This window comes from Homo sapiens, chromosome 1 (genome assembly GCF_000001405.40).
Source record: "Homo sapiens chromosome 1, GRCh38.p14 Primary Assembly".
Taxonomy (NCBI): Eukaryota; Metazoa; Chordata; class Mammalia; order Primates; family Hominidae; genus Homo; species Homo sapiens.
Genome location: NC_000001.11, coordinates 46,673,688 through 46,700,510, shown reverse-complemented (window position 1 = coordinate 46,700,510; position 26,823 = coordinate 46,673,688). Strand labels below are relative to the sequence as shown.

Below are 26,823 nucleotides of genomic sequence, written 5' to 3'. Positions count from 1 at the left end.
CTTTTTAAAGGCATGAGTGAAAACCTCCTTAATGTAATTGCTTCTCTTAGGAAGTTTATGGTTTGCTGAGAGTATCTCTGTGGACTGAGGTTTCTCACCCATCTTGTTTTTAAATGAACAGAGTTACAATGTTGATGATTAGTCTGGTTATTCTGGAGTCCTTATGTAGAATTGCATGTTTTAGTGCTTATTAATTTCACTATTAAAGAACTGTCACTTATTTGATATTTCATCTGTACCAGGTACTATGCTAAGAGCTTTGATTATATGTCTCATTTAATTCTCATAGCCTGTATTGATCATCTGTTCCTTGGTTACAAATTACCCCAAAACTTAGTGGCCTAAAACAACAGTCATTTAGTATCTTACGGTTTCTATATGTCAGGAATTTGGGAGCAGCTTAGCAGACTGGTTCTGGCCAAGATCTCTAAGGTTGCAATTAAGATGTCATCCGGGTCTTTATAACCTGGAGGTCTGACTGGGGCTGGAGGTTCCTCACTCACATGGCTTTTGGTAGGAGGCCTCAGTTCCTCCCAACATGGACTTGTCATTCTGGGGCTACTCGAGTGTCCTCACAGCATGGCAGCTCCCTTCCCCAGAGTGACTAATCCAAGGAGAGCAAAGAAGAAGGCATAGGACCTTTTGTGACCTAATTTCTAAAGTTGCCAGTTGTCACTTCCACTTTATTCTCTTCTGTAGAAGCAAGTTACTTATGTCAGGCTACACTCTAGGGAAGGGGAAGTAGGTTTCACCTCTTGAAGGGAAGAAGACTATCAAAGAATTTGTAGACATATTTTGAAACCATCACGTATCCTTATAAGATAGTTGTTAAATAGTTGTTGTTGTTATTATTATTATACCCAGTTACTGATGAAAAGAATAAATTCACTACTTATCTAGCCTTATCTCCTACCCCCCGGCCTCTGTCTTCTACTCTGCTTAGACTAGCCTTCTCAATGTCCATCCCAGACACAGAGTGTTAATTCTCAGCCATTCATTCAACAAATGCCAGTCTTTGTATCACGGGTATTGTGGAAAGTAAAAGAGACATGGTCCTTGATCATGTGGAGCTTATAGTCTTGTGGAAGAGAGAAACCTCAATCAAATAACCACCTAAACAAATCATTGTCACTTTGAGAAGTGCTATGAAAAGAAAGTACTCCTGAGCCTGTTCATACTGTGTTCCCTATCCCCCGATGCCACCCTCACCCTTCTAACCTAGAAAGAATGCCTGCTTGGTTTTTATGTATAAAATTCTAACTTCTCTGTCAGAGTCCAATTTGAGTCCTCCTTCAGCGAAGCCTGTTTCTTTCAGCTTGCATTGATATCCTTTTCTCAGAACTTTATTCAGTATCACGTTTAATGCTTAATTGTTTCTTTAATGTACTCTTGCCTTGTCTCTCAGTTATATTGAAAGCTCCTTGAGGTGAGAGACCTAAGAGTTTCCCTTAATTCTTCTATCTTCCCCACTGTTAACACCCAGTCCCAGCAAATCGTATCATCTCTACTTCTGCTACTACCTCTACTACCACTCAAGTCTAAACCACCATTATCTCTTGCCGAGACTACACAGATCTCCTTCTTACTGGTCTCTCCATTTCTACTGACAGCCATAGTAGTCTTCCTCCAAGGTGTCTCCATTCATGTAATTATCCTGCTTACACACCCCTGCCTATCACACCTCAAGTAAAACCCATGTGCTTGTTCTGGTTTACAGAGTCCTGTCTGTTCTGGCACTTTACTGCACAACTGGCCTCACCACCTACTTTGTCTCTCTGTCTCTCTCACATACACACACACATTATGAGATCCTGCCACCTAAACTTCTGTTCTCTGAATATGCCAAGCTCTTTCCTGTACTGGGACTTTTGGTCTAGCAGTTCCCTCTTCCCTGAAATAGGCTTCATCCAATCTTCATATGATTAATTCTTTCTTACTATTCAGATCTCAGTTTAAATTTTATCTCCTTACAGAGGCCTCCTCAGACCGATCAGTCTAAAAGTTGCTACCCAGTCACTCCTGTCAAGTTACTTTATTTTAATTTTTTTCTAGTGCTTCCCACTATCTGATATTTTTCTATATAAAAGTGTCTGTCTGCTTGCACTAAAATGTAAACACCACAGGATCCCTGACATCTGTGTTGTTCACCAGTGGTGAATAATAGGGTCCAGTAGTATTTGTTTTATTAGTGAGTGGCTGAAAATTCATCTTAAGCCTCTGAACTTTTGCCTTCTAAAAGAAAAGAGGGAAAAGAGAACTTGAGTTCCCGAGTTCCCAGGCTCCTTACCAGACTCCCTGTCTCAGACCAAGCTACTACTACTTACTCAGGGAGCTTTGTTTAAATTAAATTCTTTGCATAGCCGGACATGGTGGCTCATGCCTGTAATCCCAGCACTTTGGGAGACCAAGGCAGGTGGATCACTTAAGGCCAGGAGTTCAAGACCAGCCTGGCCAACATGGCGAAACCCCTATCTTTACTAAAAATGCAAAAATTTGCCAGGTGTAGGGGCATGCACCTGTAATCCCGGCTACTCAGGAGGCTGAGGCACGAGAATCACTTGAACCCAGGAGGCAGAGGCTGCGGTGAGCCAAGATCACTGCACTGTACTCCAGCCTGGGCAACAGAGCAAGACTGTCTCAAAAAAAAAAAAAAAAAGAGAGAGAGAGAAAGGAAAAAATTCTTAGCACAGTACTTATTACAATCTGATTTCTTTTCTTTGTTTTTCTGTCACCTTTTACTAGGATGTATGCTCCATGAGAGCAGAGCTTCATGGTCTTGTTTGCCTCTCTGCTGTCTCCACAATGACTGCAGCAGTGTCTGGCACAGAGATGCCAAACATTTGCTAAAGGAATGAGTAGGGAATCAGGTTCTGTTTTGTCTTACACCCCCCAGTGCCTACCACTGTGCTTGGCCCATAACAAGTGCCCAGAAACTGGTGGGTACTCTGAGGCCACTCTGAATATAATTGCTATTGGTAGATCTGTGTTCTCATCCTAGAATTTAGAATGGGAAAGCGGTTTAGAACTAAGAGTCTTTCAAGTGTTTCGAGCCAAACTGCAAAGCTTTTAGAATATTGTCTCTGCAGCCTGAAACTGACTATTACACAGGTTCCCCCAGTTCCCATTCAAGAGCGAAGTCTAGATGTTTAGAATTCTATGCCTAAATAGCAGAACGGAAGCCTCATTTTATTTTGATTAAATTCCTATTTTAATACATACATTGCATCAGTCAGTGAGTCAGTGAGTATTTATTGAGCCCCTTCAGGATACAAAGTAGTGCTCTGGTAGAGCTATTGAGTTTGAAATATTAGTCACATTTTTAAACCAAAACCAAATCCCCAAGTAGTTGAAAGTGCTGTTCAAATTGTCAGAGTGCAGTTCCTGTAGACTGTATTTTGTGAGATGGGCTTTTACTTTATATGTTCCCACTTGGGCAGGAACAAAAGTTTGGTAAATTACTGAGGTATTACATTTTACCAAAATGAAATTTTGAAGTGATCCTTCATCATTAGCTTTCTTCCTGTCCAATTGTTGAGGGAGTGTGTGATAATTACAGCATCTTTTGAGTAATTTAAGATTTTGGGATCTTGTGCTGCCAGGACAGGGTAAAGAATAACACTTGCCTTCACTCTTTGACACTAGTGTTCAAATTGGGCAGGGAAAGAAGGGGTATTATTGTTGCCTCCCAGATCCCAACTCTATCCAAAGTACTGTCTCCTTTACTTCTGTGAGCTGACAGGGTTGCAGAAACACATAAAATCCTAGACTATCTTGACATCACCAACCGTAGAGTTTGTGAAGGTAACGTGTCCTCTACAAATTCTCATTTGTTTTCATTGTTTGTTACTCTTTTTTGTTCAGATTTCTCTGTTGACTTCTGCAGTGAACCACCTCAAAGCCAATGTTAAGTCAGCTGCAGACTTGATTAGCCTGCCTACCACTGTAGAGGGACTTCAGAAGGTAGGTGCCATGTGTGGGTACAGAGACTTCAGAAGGTAGGTGCCATGTGTGGGTACTATTTGCCATAATTCTAGCTTCTTATAAGTTTTCATTGAAAGCCTAGCATTTGAAATCAGCTGCTCCAAGAGGGCAGTAATGGAGTGTATCACTGTGTCCTAAAGAATTCAGAACAATTTTGTTTTGGTCTGGTTAGTTAGGCCTTTAATTTGCAACAGGTTACCTCAGCTGTGATTTATATGGGTTCATACCTTTTTATTTGGCTCTCTGAGTCCCAGAATTGCTCTGCTGGCACTCTTGTGTTAGCATATATGGGTTCGCTTTTCAGCTTGCTTTTTCAGTTCACCACTCACAATATCTTCATCAAAGCAGACCAATTGTACATGATAGTTACCCTAAATCTCTGTTACTTTCCATAATTAAGAAAGTTAAAAAAAAAAAAAAAAGATGACCTGGGGAAATGCAAAAATTAAAAATTCAGGAAACAAGTGTTGGCAAGGATATGTGGAACGAAGGAAATTTTCAAACACTCCTGCTCCTGCTAGGAGTATTAATTGGTAAAAATCACTTTGGAGGCTGGGCATGGTAGCTCATGACTGTAATCCCAACGTTTTGGGAGGCTGAGCCAGGAGGATCACTTGAACCCAGGAATTACAGACCAGCCTGGGCAACATAGGGAGACCTCGTCTTTACAAAAAATTTTAAAGTTAGCTGGGCATGGTGGCACACAACTGTAGTCCCAGCTACATGGGAGGCTGAAGTAGGAAGATCACTTGAGCCTGGGAGGTTGAGGCTACAGTGAGCTGTGACCAACCAGATGAATAGTACTCAGGGATCCTTAGAGATGGACGGGAAGAGTGGATAGGGGTAGGAAGGCAGAAGAGGTGCCTAATTCGAACATAAAGAACATCATCCCCTGACACAGGAAATGGAAGAAGGGATTCCCCAAACGGTGGATATCAAATCTAGGATCTTTGAATTATAAAAATATGTGCTAAGTTTGGTCAGATTATGTGCCAGGGTCTATGAGCATATGAATTCTTTCCACAAAGGAGCAAGAAATTTCTAAGCCATAAGCGAAGACAAAATTTGCTATTTTATAGCCACACCATCTGTGTGTGCTCAGTCTCCATAATTTGCTACTTGTCCAATGTGGCCATCTACTTACAAATTCGGGGGGAAAAAAAAGGGGTAGGGACAACTCTGATGAGGCCAGATTCTTGCCGTTGTTCCTAGGGCCAATTCAGGAAATGATAGGCTTCTGTAGCCATTAGTACAGAAGCAGCTCTCACAGTCTTGCATTAGAAAAGGAAACTGGTTTATTCTTTTTTTTATTACACTTTAAGTTCTAGGGTACATGTGCACAACGTGCAGGTTTGTTACGTATGTATATATGTGCCATGTTGGTGTGCTGCACCCATTAACTCATCATTTACATTAGGTATATCTCCTAATGCTATCCCTCCCCCCACCCCAAAACAGGCCCCGGTGTGTGATGTTCCCCTTCCTGTGTCCAAGTGTTCTCATTGTTCAATTCCCACCTATGAGTGAGAACATGCAGTGTTTGGTTTTTTGTCCTTGCAATAGTTTGCTGAGAATGATGGTTTCCAGCTTCATCCATGTCCCTACAAAGAACATGAACTCATCATTTTTTATGGCTGCATAGTATTCCATGGTGTATATCTGCCATGTTTTCTTAATCTAGTCTATCACTGATGGACATTTGGGTTGGTTCCAAGTCTTTGCTATTGTGAATAGTGCCGCAATAAACATAAGTGTGCGTGTGTCTTTATAGCAACATGATTTATAATCCTTTGGGTATATACCCAGTAACGGGATGGCTGGGTCAAATGGTATTTCTAGTTCTAGATCCTTGAGGAATCTCCACACTGTCTTCCACAATGGTTGAACTAGTTTACAGTCCCACCAACAGTGTAAAAGTGTTCCTATTTCTCCACATCCTCTCCAGCACCTGTTGTTTCCTGATTTTTAATGATCACCATTCTAACTGGTGTGAGATGGTATCTCATTGTGGTTTTGATTTGCATTTCTGTGATGGCCAGTGATGATGAGCATTTTTTCATGTGTCTGTTGGCTGCATAAATGTCTTCTTTTGAGAAGTGTCTGTTCGTATCCTTCACCCACTTTTTGATGGGGTTGTTTGATTTTTTCTTGTAAATTTGTTTAAGTTCTTTGTAGATTCTGGATATTAGCCGTTTGTCAGATGAGGAGATTGCAAAAATTTTCTTCCATTCTGTAGGTTGCCTGTTCACTCTGATGGTAGTTTCTTTTGCTGTGCAGAAGCTCTTTAGTTTAGTTAGATCCCATTTGTCAATTTTGGCTTTTGTTGCCATTGCTTTTGGTGTTTTAGACATGAAGTCCTTGCCCATGCCTATGTCCTGAATGGTATTGCCTAGGTTTTCTTCTAGGGTTTTTATGGTTTTAGGTCTAACATTTAAGTATTTAATCCATCTTGAATTAATTTTTGTATAAGGTGTAAGGAAGGGATCCAGTTTCAGCTTTCTACATATGGCTAGCCAGTTTTCCCAGCACCATTTATTAAATAGGGAATCCTTTCCCATTTTTTGTTTTTGTCAGGTTTGTCAAAGATCAGATGGTTGTAGATGTGTGGTATTATTTCTGAGGGCTCTGTTCTGTTCCATTGGTCTATATCTCTGTTTTGGTACCAGAAAAGGAAACTGGTTTATTCTTGAATTTATTCATTCAATAAACATTTGTGGAACTTCCTCCAGTATGTACCAGGCACTTTGCTGTTGATGGGAATACTAGTTTCAGAGTTTTGCTCCAGAGTTCACATGGCTCTGTCAGTTGCTTCCTTAGGGGAAAAAAGAAAAGAAAAAAAAAATCCTTAAACAAGAGCTTACTATCTTCTGGCATCCCAATGGGTTCATACATCCAGCCAGTGAGGATTGGATTCACAAACAGTAGGTGTCTTTGAATGCCTGTAGCTTTTGCAACAGGCATTCAGAGCTTACATAGATAGCAACAGAGCTTACATAGATAGCAAACCAGCTTAGATACTTTTACCCAGTGTGTTGTCTCTTTGCAAATCTGTGTGTTTATCATGCCAGGCACTGTGTTTCTTTCAAGTGGCTCAGTTTTGAAGTGGTAGGTCATGCCAAATACCTAACTTTATTGTATCTCATGTAATTTTTATTAGTGTCATCTCGTGTTCTCTTGGATTCTTGGATATCAGTGTAATAAAAATGACCTTGGTTAAAAATACTAATGTGGCACTGTAAAACTGTCAGCATGTCTTGAAAAGGCCAAAACTCACTGAATAGTAACACCCTTTTAGATGTTCCCTTAGGACAGGCTTTTTTTAAAACATGGCTTCTGAATTATATCTCCAAGTTCCCTGTCCACTTGGGCTTTTTAGGGCTAATGAAAGCAAAGTAAGCCACTACTCATATCCCTATTCAGTGGTTGCTGACAGGATTCTACTTTTTTTTCATCTCTGCAGTATTGAGTTTCCCAAAGCCAGATATGGTTCCCTCCCACTTTTGCTCGAAGTGTCCTTTGCTCCTAACAAGTGGCAGTCTACTGTGTTAGCTCGGCCATCTGCCTTCCCACAGCAGGGATTGACAGAGGCAGTTTGTGAGAGAACCTTATCCCTGGGTTCCAGATTTATAAACTAATATTTTTTCTTTAGGGAAGATTTGGTTTTCCTCTAGGAAAAATCATTTAAATTAAGAAAATTACTTGTTTGATTGATAGAGAAAGAGTCCTGTTAATTATCTCAGTATACACTACATGTAATCATAGTTTGAAGATATTTGAAATAATCAGAAACACCGATTTTCATTAGGGCAGTGTTTCATTAGGGCAATGTAAATTAAAATCACAATATACACTTCCATTAGAATGGCTGAAGTTGAAAAGAATGACTGTACCAATATTGGTACAGGATTGGTGAGGATATGGAGTAACAGGAACTCTCATTCCCTGCTGGTGGGAATGTAAAATGGCATAACCATTTTAGAACATTGTTGGGCAGTTTTTTAACAAGTGAAGCATAGACCTGCCATATGATCAGCCATTCACCTGCTAGGTATTATGGCGATTAGAAAGCATATGATAAAGGGGAATGTCTATAAGTCCACATGAAGACCTGAACACGAATGTTTATAGCAGCTTCATTTGTAATAGTCAAATATTGAACACAGCCTAAATGTCCATGAGCAGGGGGAGAGATAAACTGTGATAGAGCCACACAATGGAATGCTGCTCGGCAGCCTGCCAAGTAGCCTCAACATGGATGAATCCCAATTCTGCTGAGTAGAAGCAGCCACACTTTAAAAAGCACTACTTGCTCACTGGTTCTACTTATATAAAATCTAGAAAATGAAGACTGATTTATTGTGACAGAAAGTGGATCAGTGGTTGCCTGGGAACGATCGGCAAGGGAGTGATTACAGAGAGTCATGAGGAAACTTTCAGAGGTGATGAGTGTTTATTATCTTGATTGTAGTACTGGTTTCACAATTGTTTATGTGTCAAAACATTCAAATTATACATTTTTGAATATGTACAGTTTATTGCATGTCAGTTGTCTCTTAAAGCTTTTTTACACCTTCCTATATGTTTCCATTCAGAGTGTAGCTTCCATTGGCAATACTTTAAACAGCGTCCATCTTGCTGTGGAAGCACTACAGAAAACTGTGGATGAACACAAGAAAACGATGGAATTACTGCAGAGTGATATGGTAAGGAGACCCAGCAAGTCAGCATGCTCCTGCTCACCCTTTTTTGTGTAAGAGTCATGTTGCCAACTTTCCACTAATCTGAAAAGGCCCTGCTATGCATCTGTTCAAAAGATCTAATAAGCAGTATACATTGATTGTTCTACAATTTGTTAATAAAGCAATTATGGTAGATAAAATTAAAAGCCAAATCTTTTGCAAACATAGTACTGGAGGAGGTAAGGTAATAAGACACAGTTCCTGAGGATGGAATGGGTAGGACAGAAAATGGAAAAGAAGGAAAGGAAGTGGAAAAGTGTCTCATTGTTTATTACTACATAACAAAGCACCCCCAGAAGTTTGTGGCTTAAAACAAGTAATTATTTCTCACTATTCTGTGCATCAGGAATTTGAGCAAGGCTCTTAGACTCCCAAATGCTGAAACATGTGCTCGTGGATGAAAGGCAGGCTGTCTAGCATGTTCCAGCTCCAGCCAGGCTGTCAGTTAAATGCAGCCTACAACACATGGAACAGCACCACCCCCATCCCTCAACCCCCAGCTGAGCCCAGTCAACCCACAGAATCATGAGAAATACTTAATTGTTGTTGTTCTAAGCCACAAAGCTTTGGGATAATTTGTTAGGCAGCAACAGATAACTGACAGAATCAAACCCCTGCAGTGCCTAGGAATTGTTTTCAAATATCTCTGGATCACTTAGTGCTGCTGCAGATGTAAGCTGTCTGCAGTCATTTGGAGGCCTTAATCAATCACTTAATGGGTGACAGCCCCGTGAAGGATTTATGAAGAGTAAAAAAAGGATGGTGCAGCCCTTGCCATCTTGCTGGGGAGATGAGTTATATGTAACTCATCTGAAATCAGGACTATTCAAGGCACACAAAAGTTCCCTAGTCTCTCTGCCAATTTCTGGATCTGCCCTCCCACCCCCACCTGCTCTTTGCAAGCTTCAGAATTTCAAGTTTAAATTGGGAAGTTTGTACCAAGGAGACCTGGGCTATATTAGAGAGCTCTAGAAGAGAGTTTTTTTCCATTTTCTTCAGGACTGGCACACCTCACTGTTACTTAGTGGGGCTAACCCAGAGGAAAAAACATTGATCTGGGTGTCAAGACCCTTGGTTCTGGTTCTAACTGCCGCTGAGTAACTGTGTGACCCATAGTAACAAAGACCCCTCTAATTCAGCAATTCTTTTATTATTTTAATATCTTGATTATGCTCTCAAGTAATTCACTATTTTCTAAAATAATTTTTCCTAACTAAAAAATTTCCTGCCTTCTAGAACCATGGATTCCCCCCTCCTTCTCTCCTCCTTTTCTCTTTATTGTTGCCTTTTGGTTTTCTTATAAAAACAGGGTTGATTTCAGATTTCAAGGAAAACAACTTATTTTCACCAGTTGCATTCTGTTATAATTAAATCTACTTCTTTTAAATTTCCATAGCTGCCAATGGTAATCCTCCTACTGTCATTCTTTGTGCTAGATAAGTCATAGTTATGGGCTCTGAAGGGTTAAGCCATGCAAAGTTTTCCTCACTAAAGGAAAAGTGTATATAAACATGTTATACTTCAGTCTCTGGAAAGAAACTTGAGCAGTGGGAAGGGAATGGGAAAGGAAAGATAACCCTCAAACATAAGTCTTACTTAGCATAATGCTATAAGGGAAAAACTAATAATGCACATGATTGGTGGTTATGCTAAATGCCCAAGCCAGTGGTTACATGACTGGCTGCCTTTTTAATGTCAAAGCTCTTGAGTCCAGTGGAAACAATGACACTGTCCCAGGTTGAGACCGAGTTGGTCCCTGGAAAGTTACAGTGATGCTATAGTTTCTCTGGGAGCACAGGCAATGGGGCAAAGGAGAAATGGTTTCTAGAGAGTTCATTCCTTTAAGAGATTGAGAAATAGACTAGGAGGATCTCAGTTCCCTAATGTAATCTTGGTGCTGCTGGCCTAGTGCATGCTCAAGCTGGGTTCTCTCAGAACCTAGCACAAGACTGGTTAGCCTGTACATTCCCTGGCAATACTTACTGATTAATCTGTGGATGCATTCTGGGGGAGGCTAGAATGTTCTAGGACAATCTCAGATAGTTAAGTAGACCTAATAATTCCTTGTTGCCTACACTAAACTTCTTTCCTCTTAACAGAATCAGCACTTCTTGAAGGAGACTCCTGGAAGCAACCAGATCATTCCGTCACCTTCAGCCACATCAGAACTTGACAATAAAACCCACAGTGAGAATTTGAAACAGGTGCTTTTTATCTCTGGCTTAACTCCCTGTGACCACAGTGCACTGCAGAGGCAGCCAAATAGTTTGGGCTTAGTGTTTGGTGTCTCAGCAGGTGCATCCTGTATTTATTTGCCTGCCTGGGAGCTGAGCAGAGAGGAATGTGTGTTGGTATCTCGGGGATCCATATTGCTGTCCTTTCCCTTCTTTGGCACTTTGCAGTTTTTCCCTGCATGTCAGTCAGTGGAGTAAATTCCTTTTCTTATCTTGAAAGACATAGAATGAGCAGATTATCCTGAAACTCTTTATGAAAAAATAGCTATCTGGGCAGGTTAAAGATGAATGGATAGCTAAGTAATCCAGAGTGATGGCTATTTTGAGCCACAGTAAATTCTAAGAATGTTAGAAAGCATATCCTTGAAAATCAGGATTTTCTAAAGTCTAAAGACGAAAAGGCAAGAGGGGGAAAAAAGACTTTGAGTTCAGAATCACATTAAAGAGAATAGAGGAAATCTTCACTCAGAAGAATTCCTGTCCTGAGTTTAATGCCCTTTAAAACCTATAGTTATCATTCTTTTTAAAGTAGCAATCAGTACTGGAGGATGTCAGTAAAAATAATTGAATCTTATACTAAACAATGCACTACTTGTTATGGTATTGTTACATGAGCCAATTCAGTAATCGGTATTGTTCCTGAGGTAGGTTTGTTCTGACAAATTAGGTTAATGGACCTTTCATTTAATAACCCAGCAAGCCTTTCCTCCAGCAGGTGAGGTAAACATTGGGGAAATCAATTCCCAAGCTCTCAGCTTTCTGGGACCAAAGAGTGAATCATGTAGGTAGTCCTCTTCCCTCTTTCCCCCTCCTGTCTAGCTGAGGCCAAACAATTCCAAAAGGAGCAATTTAGAGTGCGAGGGACAAAGCAAAGACAGACGATTGATGGTCAAAACCAGGAAAAGGAGTTTACTTCAGTACTTGACATAGTAATGGTTGTTCGGTGCTGCTGGCCTGCTTGTCTAATTTACGTCTTTAGTGGATTCCATAACTTTATTTATTTCCACTCTAGGATATCCTGTACCTTCACAACTCTTTAGAGGAGGTAAACAGTGCCCTAGTGGGGTACCAGAGACAGAATGATCTTAAACTCGAGGGAATGAACGAGACAGTCAGTAATCTTACCCAGAGAGTCAACCTGATAGAAAGCGATGTGGTTGCTATGAGCAAGGTAGAAAAGAAAGCAAACCTGTCCTTCAGCATGGTAAGCCTTTTCTGATCTTTTGTGACATGCAGTGTGTTTTGTCTGTGCATGGATAACATTCTACCACCTTTTGAGAACAGCCTTCTGGCATATTTGAGAGGCCACACATTTGTGTTGTGCTTAATCCTCACAATGTGTTGTCTCATTTAATCCTCACACTAGCTGTGTGATGTGAATGGCCAGGCAGTGTTTGTCCTGATTTGGAGAGGGAGATGCGGAGAGGTCGAGTCGCTTACCAAGGCCTCACCACTAGTTGTTGGCAGAGATGACAAGGCTACTGTCATGTTACCAGTGCGCCATCTGGTAGGGAAGTGCTGGCACGTATTTCCGAGGGCCTTTTGGGTCTTTTCTTTTTTAAGTTATTAGGGGTGGGAGCCATGAAAATGATAGTAACCAAAAATCTTTTATCATTTCTTTAAGCCTGAACTTGGCTTTCATATTTATCCTGCTGTCTATATATTAAGGGGAACCTTTTGCGTATGTCAGGAAACAGATCAGGTCAGATCAGCTCCCCAACTTAAGAGGTCATTGAGTTCACCTCCTCATTTTACATGTAAGGAAACTGACCTACTAAGTCACTGATGCTGGCCGACTGTGCACGGCTTACTGATTTTCATATTGTTGTGAATAAAATGTGCAGTTTCACATAAACTTTGTGCAGGGATCCACATGGATTCTTTTTTTAATAACTGCAGCCCCCACCCTTAAAGATTTCATATAGCAAAGACACAGGCATATATTTAAAAATAGAAACCAAATACAGGAAATTGTGCCATAAATTCAAGTAACCACCAAAGCTGGAAGTAAGCCCACAAATAAAGTCAAACTCTGGTTCATGGAAAGCAGCATTTGAACTGGCTCTGCCACAGTGGAGCCTTGGCAAGTTGCCTGGACTTGGCTTTGAAGGGTGGAGTTGGAAGACCTGTTCCCCCTCCTGCTTTACAGAGTTGTATAATTTACTACAAAGCTGTGAAGATTAAAGGAGCTTTATTTTACGAAGCCCTTTTGAACTCAGCTAAACTAGGTTGGCTAAGAATTTTGGATGATGAGTATTATGCCTTGAAAGTTTTCAAGGCTTATTGTGAAAACTTACCACTCCTAAACTCTCTTTACTGTCTCTGCCCTCTCCCCCTACTTTATATTTCTCCAGCAGAGAAAATAGGTAATAGTATCCATCTGTCCTACTGTTTCTTAGAGCAGTATCGTGCTCAGCATGGTATTTTGAGTAAAAGTTCTACCACCTTTTATCCTTCAAAGCCTTAAAGTTTGTGACTGAAACAGCTAGAAGCACTAGTTTCAACTTCGTCTCTGGCCTTTCTCCCTCTCTCCTCCCATCTCCCACTCCTCTGCAATTTCTGTTGAGAGTGTTCTGAGATCCTTTAAATAAGTTTGACGAATTTGTTTAAAAGTGCTAGGTGTTCAAGTTTTAATGTTTGCCTTTAATCTTCCCTTTGTTTGTTTGTTTTTGTTTTGCCCTTTAAGATGGGTGATAGATCTGCCACTCTGAAAAGACAGTCTTTGGATCAAGTCACCAACAGAACAGATACAGTAAAAATCCAAAGCATAAAGGTAAATAATGGGAGGCTTACCCTGAAGTAAAAGTAAATGCAGCAGCATCTCTGTGCTTTTGATCTACTGCTACTTTTTCAAAGGGCGTACTTTTGTTCTCATGTGCTGAAACTTCAAAACAAAGCAATTAGTAAATTAGTATGTTAGTGAATAAATGAATACTTTTTTAGGCACCTACCCTGTGCCAAACACTTTAGTAGGAGCTGGGGGGACCATAGTGAGCAAGGCAGACATGTGACCCCTATTGTGGTGGAGCTCAAAGTCCTGTCAGTCAGAAAATCGTTAACACATAATTGAACAGGTCATGAATCATGAGTATGATAAGTATTATAAAGGACAAATACAGGATATGATAAGATCAAGAAGGCTTCCCTAAGGAAATGACTTTTACACTAAGACAGTAAGTTATCTGTACTAATGATGGGGGACAGAGGCAGAGATAATCTAAAAATGGTGTCTAATCTAAAATTTATTTCCTATTTTTGTATTGCAATCTCTATGTATTCATAGTCCATTTAAACCTCAGCCAGTTCCCTTCACCTTGTACCTTCCCCTTTTTTGTTCTTCCTAGACATACTGTCAAGACAGCAATCTATGATATGCTTTGATATTCCAGGAAAGAAAGTGTGATTACAGTATTCTCTGATTAGAGTGTTAAACTCTGGGCTAAGATAAAAGAAAAGCCAGGAAGATTATGACCAAGTGACTAAATTACCATCTCAAATGCATATTATGTTTGAGAAGTTGGGAGGATCTGAGGTTCAGAGAAAATGAACTTGAACTGGAACCACACAGTAAAGGCAGCTTTTGATGTAATGCTTTATATCTTTATTTTTCCTACCTTAATAGTTTTATATTATCTAGATAAAGTCACAATATATTAAGGTTTTAATGCATCATAAGCTAAGCTTTTGTTGAGTTTTCTAACTGCTTCTGCAGATTTTTTTTAAACCTCACCTAGAGAAGACAGAAAAACTTAAGAGCCAGATGTAAATTTTGAGCACAAAAAAACTAATAGGTGGTTTCTATTAGAAAGTAGTAGCAATTTCAGCCACAGTTCACATTTTAACAATAAATATCAGAACACACCAGTACACATGTATACATAAATTTCATCTTGGCTTTACTTTCAGGCCTTTTTTGTTTTTAACTGTCATCGCAGGGTATCAGTTCCTTTGTCCTACCTCATCCAAACATCCTAACCAGATACAATTTCTCCTTACCATTAGTTCTTCAAACATTTAGTACCTAGTTTTCACTACATATGTTCATATTTTAGCTCCCTAAATAAACTGAGTGAACTACTATACAGTAACTATTAGAGTAGAAATAAGATGGGGCAAGAGAAGTTAACAATTACTTATACAAGAAAAGTAAATCAATAATAAAATAAATGTGTAATGAGTTGGTGTTCTAATTAAACATAGGATCAGGACCTTTCACACTCATCTAAGCAGTTAGAAATGAGCCTCATAGAAACCAGATGTCTCTCTTTTTATAATTAAATGTATTTGTATATGCCACTCTTGATACTCCTGGGAATGAGGCAGGGTATGGGCGAAAAAACTTTTTTAAAAGATACGAGCAAGCAAGACTTTGAATTAGAAATATTACAGCTCCTTCTTTATGTCTTAACAGTTTCTGCCACCAGTTGACTCATCACCAGGGAGAAACAGAGGAAAGATCAGGGGAAAACTTGTGGTTTGTTTTTGTTCAGTTGCTTCTTTTTGTAAGGTGGTAAGAGCATGAAATTCTGCCTAAAGTGGTCTAGTCACAAGGTGAAGCAAGATATTTCGGAAAGTTATTTAGTTAGTGTGAAATAGCTCCTAGAAAACAAGATCCTGCTTATTTAGGAAATGGGTGTCGCATAGGCACCTGAGCAAGGGTACATTTCCTTTACTGCTGACACATGCATTCCTTCCCCCATCAACCAAATGTTCACAGTGAATCAGATCATCTGTAGCATAATGTTCCCTTAATGGTTTCAAATCCAGCAAGATACTTATCAGTGCTGAGGACCAAAGACATCACCAGTATATGTTGATTCATTCTTTTATTGTCTTTATAGGGAACCTACTGAGGGTCAAACACTACATGCTAAACAGGCTCTGGGAATACAGTGGACACTTAGATGAAGTCTTACTACCACCTTAAACCTTCTATAATCTTTGTTTTGTGCAGAAAGAAGATAGTTCAAATTCTCAGGTATCCAAGCTAAGAGAGAAACTCCAGCTGATCAGTGCTCTTACAAACAAACCTGAGAGCAACAGGCCTCCAGAGACCGCCGATGAAGGTGAGAGCAGAGCCGGCTTCTTAATATTTCATGGAGGCTTGAGCAGCTTGCCTCTCACATGGGGAGCAGGGAAGGTGTTCCAGCAGTACTGATCGCACCAAGCGAGTGATGCCTGAACGCACCGAGATGAAGCTGATACACTTTGCTTTCATTTAGAAAAGGCCCATTTTGTACATGATTTGTACTCTAGTCTATTAAGGGAAGAATTGGTAATGTTTAGCTGGAAATAGAATTCTCCATGCTGTCTGCATCCAATTATAGGCAAAAATGTTACTGTCATAGAGTATATTAAGCCAGCCCTAAAAGTTGTTTATGAGAGTCTTTTCCTTTCTGTAAGTGCATAACATGTATTTAAAAATAAATATTCGCCCTTCTGAAAATCGTTAACAAAAATAATGATGGGATCTTTGGGTTGGAAGGGTCTTTGGCTTTAGGTATGGACCTGTCTAATCAATATTAGCAGATACATGAGCCTCCACTGATTTAGACCCTGTGAGGACATAACCAAGGCACTGGACTGTGTTAGCTTTGACCTTTTCCCCCACACAAGTATTTTTCTATTTTAGAAAAGCAGTACAAACTCTCTTGAATTCTCCTTTAGTAGGAGACAGAACTGTGGTGGAATGTCTTGTCCTAACATTGTGCTACATCATCTTACGGTTGCACTCTTAGCACCAGCTTAGCGGGTGGCACATACCCCTAGACTGGGTTTAAAGCACATCTCCCAGGATGTCAAGATCTTTGATATCCAGCCACTGTTCTTGCCACTTGACAGCTTAAGCTCTTACCATCTAAACATGTTTAATGCTAGCTTGTACTGTAAGATCTTCTAATGGGACTGCTGCTGCAAACCTTAACGTAATATAATACTGATTGGTGTTCCCTTGCCCACAAATATGTCTCAATCCAAGCCTTTAACTTCACATAGTCACTATGCTACTTTATCTTCAAATGTTTCTCTAAATTAATTGTATATCCAATTTTCCTAAAAGGTGACCTTCGATACTAGTTTAATTTGGTGTTAGATTCAATAATACTAAATAAAACCTTATGTATTTGTTACAGAGCAAGTAGAGAGTTTCACATCAAAGCCATCAGCATTGCCAAAATTTTCACAGTTTCTTGGAGACCCAGTTGAGAAAGCTGCCCAACTAAGACCTATCTCCCTACCAGGAGTTTCTAGCACTGAAGGTAAATTTTTATACCACGGGGTAGTAATGGGAATGTTCAAAGTAATAACTTTTTAATGTTTATTTTCACTTGTCAAAAATATATATGATCTAACATTTATTGAGGAGATATCAAGTGCCAGATACTTTATATGCATTATGTCATATAATCCTGATAACCATCCCATGAACATAAGTATTTATGTATTATACCCATTTTACTGATAGGGAAACTGCCTAAGTCCACACAGCAAATAATTGGTTGAAACAGAATGCAAACCAAGACAGTCTGATGCCAAAGCTTGTGCTTTTTTTTTAGACCCCCAGGCTGGAGTGCAGTGGCACAATCTGGGCTCACAGCAACCTCTGCCTCCCAGGGTTAAGCAATTCTCATGCCTCAGCCTCCCAAGTAGCTGGGACAGGTGTGTGCCACCATGCCTGGCTAATTTTTTGTATTTTTAGTAAAGATAGGGTTTCACCATGTTGGCCAGGCTGGTCTTGAACTCCTGACCTCAAGTGACCCACCTGCCTCAGCCTACTGAAGTGCTGGGATTACAAGCACAAACCAACTCACCTGGCCGAAGCTTGCACTTTTAACCAGTGTACTATATTATCTTTCTGTTAATGTTTTTTAGGGTCTTCATTCACTGAGTGCCTCATTAAACCTAGTGCTAAGCAATAAGAATACAGTATAAGATATGGTCTCATTTTCTTTCTTCAAGGATATTACAGTCTAATGGAGAAGGCATAAAAGCAAATACAATACCATGAGATTAGTAAAATAAAGTAAAAGTTGACCCTGTTTGTCAGGGCCCTCCAAAAATGAAGGACCCTTTTACTGAAAATCAGCAAAATATTAGTACAAAGGATATGATTCACAGAAAAATGTGTTTGCACTGCTTCCAGCAGTGCATGTTCTATCCCTCATGGTGATGTTTAGTGCCTCCCGATTTTGTATTAGCTGGCTGCCTGGCAAATCACTTGCTCCTGTCCACCACACCTTCCTCTGGCTCTTCTCTTTAGCCTAGATACCATTCTACCAGGAACATTTCCTTACCTCCAGTGACTGGATTAGGCTCCTCCTGTGTGCTCTTAAATTTTGTTTGCCCCTGTTTAGCACATGTCACTCTGTTGGAATTTCCTGGGGAGATACAAAATATAACTTCCTATGGGTAAGGACTATGTCTTGTTTACTCCCAGCCCCTAGCACAGTACCTGGTACTCCTGAATATTTGTTAAATAAATGAATGAGTTACCTACACATTGCAATTAAATGCTTAAAGCATAGAAGACTTAAATTTTTCTATCACCATTTAAATGTGATTACTTTTCTTCCCTGTTCCTGACTTTTTTTTTTTCTGTTTTCTGGGGAGGAGGGGAAGTGTTGTGTTTAATGGGAACACAAGCTTCCTGCCACTTTCCATTGTTAAATCAATATTTGATGAGAATGAATGGGGGAAAGCTATTAGGTCAGAGTAAGGAATAGCAGTCTTAACACTTGTGCTTCAGTCCTCAGCATAGGCCTTAAATACTTTTGGATGACTATACTTTTGGAATGACCTGAGGCAGCAATCATATTTTTATTTGAATACTGCTACCAAGTGCGTAGTGTAGCATGTTGTATAAACTCATGCCACAAAAAAAAAGAAAAAAAAAAACAGAACTCTTCAGCTAGCCACTTGGTGTAAGGCATTGGGAACAAGTGTCCCACTGCTTTCCTGCCTTTCAGAGAGCTTTTGACATTTTATTAGCTGCATTGCTGCACCTATTGTAGGAGTGAGAGTAGGGCCCTATTCAGGAGCTTGTTTATAGGAGCTCCTTGATGGACTGGACCTTGCACTGCAACTGTTTTCCCTCCCTTCAAGCTATTTTTATTCTTCCTGAATACCAAACATCAAGAGGCCTATTTTACCTAGGTATGGTGTGGAATAAATGATGAAATTAAAGGAGTTTGGGAAGATTTTTAAAGAAACATAAAGCTCATTGACCTTCTTTGGTATTAGATATTAAATCTTCTATTTGATTATGGGGACACAAGTATTTTTTAAATGTTATGTATATACGGCCAGGTGCAGTGGCTCATGCCTGTAATCCCAGCATTTTGGGAGGCCAAGGCAGGCAGATGGCTTGAGCTCAGGAGTTCGAGACCAGCCTGGGCAACACAGTGAAATCCCAACTCTACAAAAAATACAAAAATTAGCCAGGCGTGGTAGCGCACACCCTGTAATCCCAGCTACTCGGGAGAATAGCCTGAGCCTAAAAGTTTGAGGCTACAGTGAGCTGTGATCATGCCACTGCACTCTAACCTGGGTGACAGAGGGAGACCCTGTCTCAAAAAAAAAAAAAAAGTTATGTATATAACTGACCTTCCTAAGTGTTTGTGATGAGGCCCTTGAGAAAATGCCAGAAGAAACTATTGATAGACATTCTCTAATCATTTTGGCTCAATATTGCCATTGAAATAAAAAAGATACAGATCAACTGGTAATATTGCTCTTTTTCTTTTTACTGATTTTTAAAAAGTAGAGAGCATGCACTTTGGAGAGATAATTCCTCTGGTTCTTTTTTATTGAAATACAATTCACATACCATAACATTCACCTTTTTAAAATGCAGTGTTTTTAATCCAGTGTTTTTTAGTGTATTCACAAGGTCATGCAACCATCACCACTATCTAATTCCAGAACATTTTCATCACCCCTCACAGAATCTCTGTACCCATTAAACAGTCACTCCCAGTCCCCTCTCCTGCCAGTCTCCAGCAACCACTAGTCTCTTAATCACTATCTCTATGGATTTGCCTATTTGGGGTGTTTCACATAAATGGAATCATACAGTATGTGGCCTTGTGTGTGCTTTTTCTTTCAATATGATTCTTTCACTTAGCATAATGTTTTTATGGTCTATTCATGTTGGAGCATGTATCAGTACTTCGTTCCTTTTTATGGCTGAATAATATTCCATTCTGTTGACCTAACACATTTTGGTCTGTTCATCCGTTGATGGACATTTCGATTGTTCTCACTTTTGGGCTATTAAGAGTAATGCTGCCATGAACATTCATGTGCAAGTTTTTATGTAAACATATGTTTTCATTTGCCTTGAGTATATATATACCTAGGAATGGAATTAATGGGTCATATGATAGCCCTAACTTTTTGAGGAACTCCTACACTTTTCCAGAGTGGCTGTACCATGTTACATTCCCATCAGCAATGTGTGAGGGTTCAATCCACTTTCTCCACATCCTCCCTAATGCTTGGTAAGGCCTGTCTTTTTTTATTATAGCCATCGTAGTGATTATGACATGGTATCTCATTACACTTTTGAGTCACTGGTTCTTGAGCTGCTTAATTTCTGGATCCAGAGAGACAAGTGTCACATAGTAGAAAGAGCACTGGACTAGGTAATAAGAAATTTGTATTCTAGGCCAGGTGTGGTGTCCTAGCACTTTGGGGAGGCTGAGGTGGGCAGATCATTTGAGGCTAGGAGTTAGAGACCTGGCCGACATGATGAAACCGCATCTCTACTAAAAATACAAAAATTAGCCAGGCCTGGTGATACACACCTGTCATGCCAGCTACTAAGGAGGCTGAGGCAGGAGAATAGCTTGAACCTAGGAGGCAGAGGTTGCAGTGAGCCAAGATCATACCACTGCACTCCAGCCTGGGTGACAGAGTAAGACTCCACCAAAAAAAAAAAAAAAAAAAAAAAAAAAAAAACAGGCGTGGTGGTTCACGCCTATAATCCCAGCACTCTGGGAGGCCCAGGTGGGCGAATCACCTGAGGTCAGGAGTTCAAGACCAGCCTGGCCAACATGGTGAAACCCCATCTCTACTAAACATTAAAAAAAATTAGCTGGGCGTGGTGGCGGGCGCCTGTAATCCCAGCTACGCAGGAGGCTGAAGCACAAGAATCACTTGAACCCAGGAGGCAGAGGTTGCAGTGAACCAAGATCGCGCCACTGCACTCCAGCGTGGGCGACAGAGTGAGACTTAGCTTCAAAAAAAAGAAAAGAAATTTGTATTGTATTCCACTTAAGAGTTACATGACCGTAGGCAAGTTACTTTCCTCTTTGAGCTTTGGATTTCCTGTCAAAACTGAGAAAGCTATGAGTGTTTGGGATTGTTTTATGGGCTTCCAAGTCATTCCTCCAGTCTCCACTCAGCCATCCAACAAGAAATCTCACAATATGCCACAGTCTGTTTTATGAGCTAGCTCCTATCACATAACTCATTAGGCCTCTGCATTCCTTTTCACCCCTTCAACATAAGAATAAATTCAGGAAAATCTAAAGGGAAGACGCTGGACAGAGAGAAGATGAGACCATTCATTCTCCTGCGATTATCTGTCACTGCTTCTACTTTGGCAGTGTCTCACTGTGTTGCCCAGGCTGGTCTCAAATTCCTGGCCTCAAGCAATCCTCCTGCCTCAGCCTCCCAGAGTGTTGGGATTATAGGCATAAGCCACTGCACCCAGCCTTTTTTTTTTTTTTTTTTTTAATATATTTTTAAGGGATCAAAAATTAGTCTTCCTGATTTAGTGAAATCCTAAACTTTACCATTTGGAAACAAAATTTGCGGAGTAGCTTTTCTTTTAGTGTTTTAAATTCAGTTGAGACTACTTTTAACTAAATTTAGCTGTATGTTTAGACGTATACATTTTTTGTAATTCATTTTTGACAGATCTTCAGGATTTATTCCGCAAGACTGGCCAGGACGTGGATGGGAAGCTGACCTACCAGGAAATCTGGACCTCCCTAGGTTCTGCTATGCCAGAACCAGAGAGCTTGAGAGCATTTGATTCCGATGGAGATGGAAGATACTCATTCCTGGAGCTAAGGGTAGCTTTAGGTATCTAGCTTCATCAGGCATATTTTAGAAATGGACTGCCTAATATCTATTTACCTAACAACAAAACAACCCTTACTTACCCATCAGTCCTCTAGTCCTCCAAACTACTGTAGCAGATACTTTGCCACCTTTTAACTTGTTTGAAGAAGCTATATAAAAGTTATTTTTTTAAAGAAGAAGACCATTTTACTTATGATGTTCAGAAATCTATGATTTCCTACAACCAGTAAGATCTTACATTTTAAAATTGCCAGAAAAAAAATTAAAGCCCTCTTTTTTTCTCTTTCCTTTTTTTGAGGGGAGGAGACCTTATCTTTTAAAGCTGGGAAATGTATATAGAGAGAGAATAAGCCACTTTTATATTTCACTTAAATTTGCCTTAAATTAGCTGCACTTTATAGAGACTCAGAAAATGTCTTTTCTTTAAAAGATAGGCCTTTTCTGTTTGTAAATATTTAAATGAAAGAAAGCATTGTGCATATTGTGTGGAAAGTAGGAAGAATGGTTTTGAACAGGATATGAACAAATGACTTATTAAAAATTGCTGATCTGGTGTAGGTGGCAGCTGAAACTACATCCATGTCTCCATAAGGTATCCCTCAAAGGCCCAGGCGCTGCCAGGGGGTTTGTCCTGGTAGCTGGAGGAACCGATTTCAGGGAGTAGACACTGGAGACAATACTGACTCCAGGCATGGCTCATGGAAGTAGGATTCTGGTTCTTTGTTCCTATTCCCTCAGCTAATCCCAACCTGGGAATCAGAGAAGTCTTGGGGATTTTTCTCATTTTTAGTACTATTTCAGGGTTTATGAGCATAAAAAGTTATCCATTGGGGAGCTCCATTTTCCCTGCTGAGTGAGCTAGATTGCCTTCCCCACCCACCCACTTAAGTCTGTCTTAAAGCCGTAGCTGGCTCCCACCACCAGTACCATCTCCATTTGAATGGCAGGGCTAAATTCCCCCAGCCATTATCTCACACTGACCACCCAGAGCTTTAGAAGAGAGCTGTGCTTCTAATTTTGACCCAGAAAACCATACCCCTTGAGATTTTACCTAGAGGCTAACCAAGAGCCTAATATGTTTCTCTGGGGGATGACTAAAGCCAAAAAGGCTGTGAGATGAAACATGTGAAATAATATTCAGTTTCCTTACCATTACCAGCTCAGAAGTAGCTAGAGGCTTTCTACCCAAAGGATGCCAAAGTATAGCAGGGCAGGCCTGGAGCTAGGGCCTTCACATGGTGGTAGCAAGTTTTTCAAATCTAATACAATCAAGTACAATACTTCCTTTAAATGCTTCTGTGGACCTGGCATGAAAGATCCCTAGATTGAAAGGAATAATACCTCCATGTCTCCTGTATGTTGAGTCTAGAATTGCTGTGTTGTTCTTAGAAGCAGTCTTTGGGCAACAACTTGAAAGGGGAAAAAAAAACTACAAAAACTTAACTTTGGTATAGGCCAAGTCAGGGAGAAAGTAGAGAAAGCTGTCATGCCACAGACTTCTTTAGTGGAGATCATTTCCTTTTTAACTTTGTTCAGGTTGCCCTTCACCATGGATACAGTCCGGTACCCTTAAACATTTAAGGGCTGTTTTTTTTTTCTTTACATGATGTTCAGCTTGGTATTAACCAAACTTAAATTTTTTTTCCAGAAGTATTAAAATTTAGTTAAAGCAAGATGAAGTCTTTTCCCATGAATGTGTCCCCTTATCTCATTATAGCTTATGCTCAGTTTCACTTTCTTGGAAAGGTTAAAACAAATTAGCCTGGCACTTTAGGTAACTTGAAAATAACTCTCACCCTTCTGACTGCCTTCCATCCACTCTCACCCCACACCTTTTTTTAATATATATACACCCTTACAGATTTTCTAACAACCAAATAAAATTCTAGCAATAAATTGAATTATACTGCTATATTTGTATATACTGTACCATAAATAGTATGTCTGTACCTGGAAGGTATTTTTTTGAGAACTGATTTATATGAAATATACTTGAGGGTAATGTAGCTTGTCCTTTTTAGTTTCAAATTCTTATTCATAGGCAGATACTTTGAAGACACCTTAACTCTTTGTTGTGTGTATTTTCCCTTGCATCAGATAACTATACATGGAGAAATCCATTTTGTTTTTTGGTTTATCTTCTGTTCTTCCTACCTTGTGCTTGTCTGACTAGTATCACCCCTGAGCCAGTATACAGTACCATCCTCTCCCCCTACCAAGTTTGGCAGAGGTGTTTATACTGCATTCTCAGATCTATGAATATTTTTGTCATCCTGCCTGAGAAAGTACATCTTCCAGGCAAAAGTAGGGTATCTTGAACTCCTTTCTTCTGAGTTGAGCAGACTCACTGGCTTAAGCATCCCATAAGCCTATTATTTAGTGTGAATTTGGGACTTTTATTTGTATGTTGTCTTAACTTACTAAGCCTGTGACTTGTATTTAGCTGTAGTCAAGCCTCACCAGCCATATCTCATCTCTGAGAGGAAGACTGGATAGTGAGTTTGGTTTTGGTTTTGGTTTTAAACCCTTTTACCTTTTCAGTCTGGCAGCTCCTACTGCTGCTTTCCTAAGTTACTCAAAGCACTGCTTCTTGGTCCTTGTTTTCTTTTGCCTTGTACTATCTTGTATAATGTTTACTAAAAGAGCCTCCCCATAAATCAGAGAGGCAAAAAGGTAGCATATAAAAAGAAGAACCAAAAGAAGAGAAAACCTGACTTCTAGATGACTGTGGTGTCATCTAAAAGGCAGAGGTGCCTGACCCTCAGGAATGTGTATGATGCAACAGAGCTGAAGAATGGGTTCCCTTCACCTACTGCTGGCCATTGTCCCTTCTGTTGGAGATTCCTTTCTTTATGGTTGCTGTTCATAACCCCTTCAACACCCCCCCTTGCTGGTCCTGCCGGTCACAGTTGAGGATTTTGGCTGTGATGGGCTCATACTCATAATGGCCTGTTGAGTTGTTTTTAGTGACAGGTTTTGTTTGCTGCACACCTCATTGGCTTGCTTACCAACACCAGCTAGAAGTGGTCCCTCTTTCATATCCAAACCAGAACACATTTGGGTATTCCTGAGACTTTATAGAGCGTGTATTGTTTGTTATACGAACCTAACCTACCTTGTTGTTTTCTCATATTAAGAAATTTAAATCTACTTTGTTTTAGTGAAGCTATTTTGGTAATGTATAAGCAATTTTGGTTCTGTTTAGGGAGAATTCAGGGTTTCCATGACTTGATTTGAGCTTTGCATATTTCAAATAAGTAACACAGCCATTTTAATTTAGCTAAATAAAAAAATTTCTTTTTTCTCTCAATGTGTCTGACTAAAGCCTCTCTCACTCCCCTGCGATTTTTAAGGGAAAAAAAAAATCTGCTTTGATTTCTATATTTATGGACGCCTTACACCTTTTGAAAGCAAGGAGTAACACATGGTGGGCCCAAAGTAATTAAGAGTCTGCCTTAAGGACTGCAATATTTGGCCTGAAGAAGCAAAGGCTGCAGGGTTCAGGCTTTTTGCATCCAGAGGATGGGAGGGGTGAGGTGAGGCAGGAGTGAGCCCTGCCCCTGTGTCTACCCGAGATGCTCCACTTAGGCCTGTTTTATTTTTTGAGAGTCAATATAAAAGCGTGTTTGCCATAAATGTCCCACCACCTTAAAAAAAAAAAAAAGCTTAAAATCCGTTGCTAAAGAGGGGTCATACACAAGCTAAAACTTTTTCACACACAGAAAAAAATAACTCTACATGTTTGCTAGATTCTGGATACCTCCCCCCCTCCCCGCAACACAGAATCTGGTGACCTTCCCCCTCAGTCATTATGTAAATGACTATACATAAAGCTTTTGTTATTTACAAATATAATGAGAGGATTTGTTCATTTCCAAAAGGAAAGGGAGAAACACATATCCTGTGATAGAGCTGGGCTTTCTTACCTCAAAACTGCAGCCAAATGGGCAGTATTATCTTTGTCTCACCTTTTAGAACCATTTCCAGAAGTACAAAAATTATTAATATTCCCATGTGGTGGATCTTAACTTTTGGGAGGGGGACATGGATTCCTGTAGGAAAGGTAAAAACTATGGATATATGTCTACGTATAATTTTAGGCAGTTCACTGACCAGCCCTTCCTCCAAGCCAGTTCATGGACCAACTTAATGACACCCTACATACAATCCGAAGCATTCACCAAGTGTTTTCTAACACGACATATCATTAGGGAAGGGGCACTATGGCGTATGGTGGGAAGATCAGTACCTTTGATGCCAAGCAACTGATGATCAATAACTTTCATACCAGTAACTTTGATGCAAGGCAGATGTAGATTTGAGAACTGGCTCTGCAACTAAGAAAGGTATGGCATATGCCCTTGGAACCTGTCTCTTCATCCATAAGAGGAGGATCATGATATCCATTTGGCAGTGTTCTTGTGAATTATTAGAAATAATGTAAAGAGGCAACCACGTAAGAGCTGCATACATCATAGATAATAACAAAGAATGCATTTCAGCCCATAGTGCAGTGTGGCTCACAGGGCTCGTGATGACTCATTTTGCCTGTGACATAGCGACTGTAAATCAACATAGCTCACGTACCCTCAGCAGCTATCACTCTGGTGGCAGCTGTGCTTCACATCCCACAGAACACCAGTGCCTTGGGGTACCTAGGCCAGGGCCTGGCACACATTTTTGTTTTAAATACTGAACAGAGGGATATTGAGTCCATCCACAAGTACTGGTTCAGTGTGTCTCCCCACAGCCAACCACCAGTGCCAGTTCATATTGGTGAG

The 26,823-nt window shown here is 40.1% G+C and overlaps 1 protein-coding gene and 2 long non-coding RNA genes across 4 annotated transcripts in view, besides 1 other annotated feature; 2 read left to right on the top strand and 1 right to left on the bottom strand.

Annotated features, from left to right (window-relative positions):
- EFCAB14 (EF-hand calcium binding domain 14) overlaps window positions 1-25,352 on the top strand; it is a 43,956-nt gene extending 18,604 nt beyond the window's left edge. Inside the window, exons 4-11 of the mRNA NM_014774.3 lie at window positions 3,862-3,960; window positions 8,574-8,684; window positions 10,820-10,924; window positions 11,967-12,158; window positions 13,641-13,727; window positions 15,909-16,020; window positions 17,086-17,211; window positions 21,875-25,352. Of these exons, the coding sequence (NP_055589.1) occupies window positions 3,862-3,960; window positions 8,574-8,684; window positions 10,820-10,924; window positions 11,967-12,158; window positions 13,641-13,727; window positions 15,909-16,020; window positions 17,086-17,211; window positions 21,875-22,050 (1,008 nt within the window). The 3' untranslated portion in view covers window positions 22,051-25,352. The remainder of the gene's footprint in view (window positions 1-3,861; window positions 3,961-8,573; window positions 8,685-10,819; window positions 10,925-11,966; window positions 12,159-13,640; window positions 13,728-15,908; window positions 16,021-17,085; window positions 17,212-21,874) is intronic.
- On the bottom strand, window positions 8,413-26,475 carry EFCAB14-AS1 (EFCAB14 antisense RNA 1). Of its 2 annotated transcripts, NR_038827.1 has the most exons (4): window positions 26,292-26,475; window positions 18,247-18,330; window positions 13,748-13,838; window positions 8,413-8,637 (listed from the first exon to the last, which is right to left on the bottom strand). It is a non-coding gene; the product is annotated as an EFCAB14 antisense RNA 1 (long non-coding RNA). The 2 variants fall into 2 exon arrangements; NR_038828.1 differs by lacking the exon at window positions 18,247-18,330.
- Window positions 10,900-11,194: a silencer, noted in NCBI's record as "tiled region #7632; K562 Repressive non-DNase unmatched - State 15:Elon". NCBI's record gives its function as "represses a minimal TATA promoter and a strong SV40 promoter by Sharpr-MPRA in K562 cells {active_cell/tissue: K562}" and the evidence as "EXISTENCE:reporter gene assay evidence [ECO:0000049][PMID:27701403]".
- On the top strand, window positions 13,734-15,428 carry LOC105378698 (uncharacterized). The gene is made up of 2 exons (XR_947298.3): window positions 13,734-14,539; window positions 15,366-15,428. It is a non-coding gene; the product is annotated as an uncharacterized LOC105378698 (long non-coding RNA).
- Window positions 26,476-26,823: the final 348 nt, after the last annotated feature.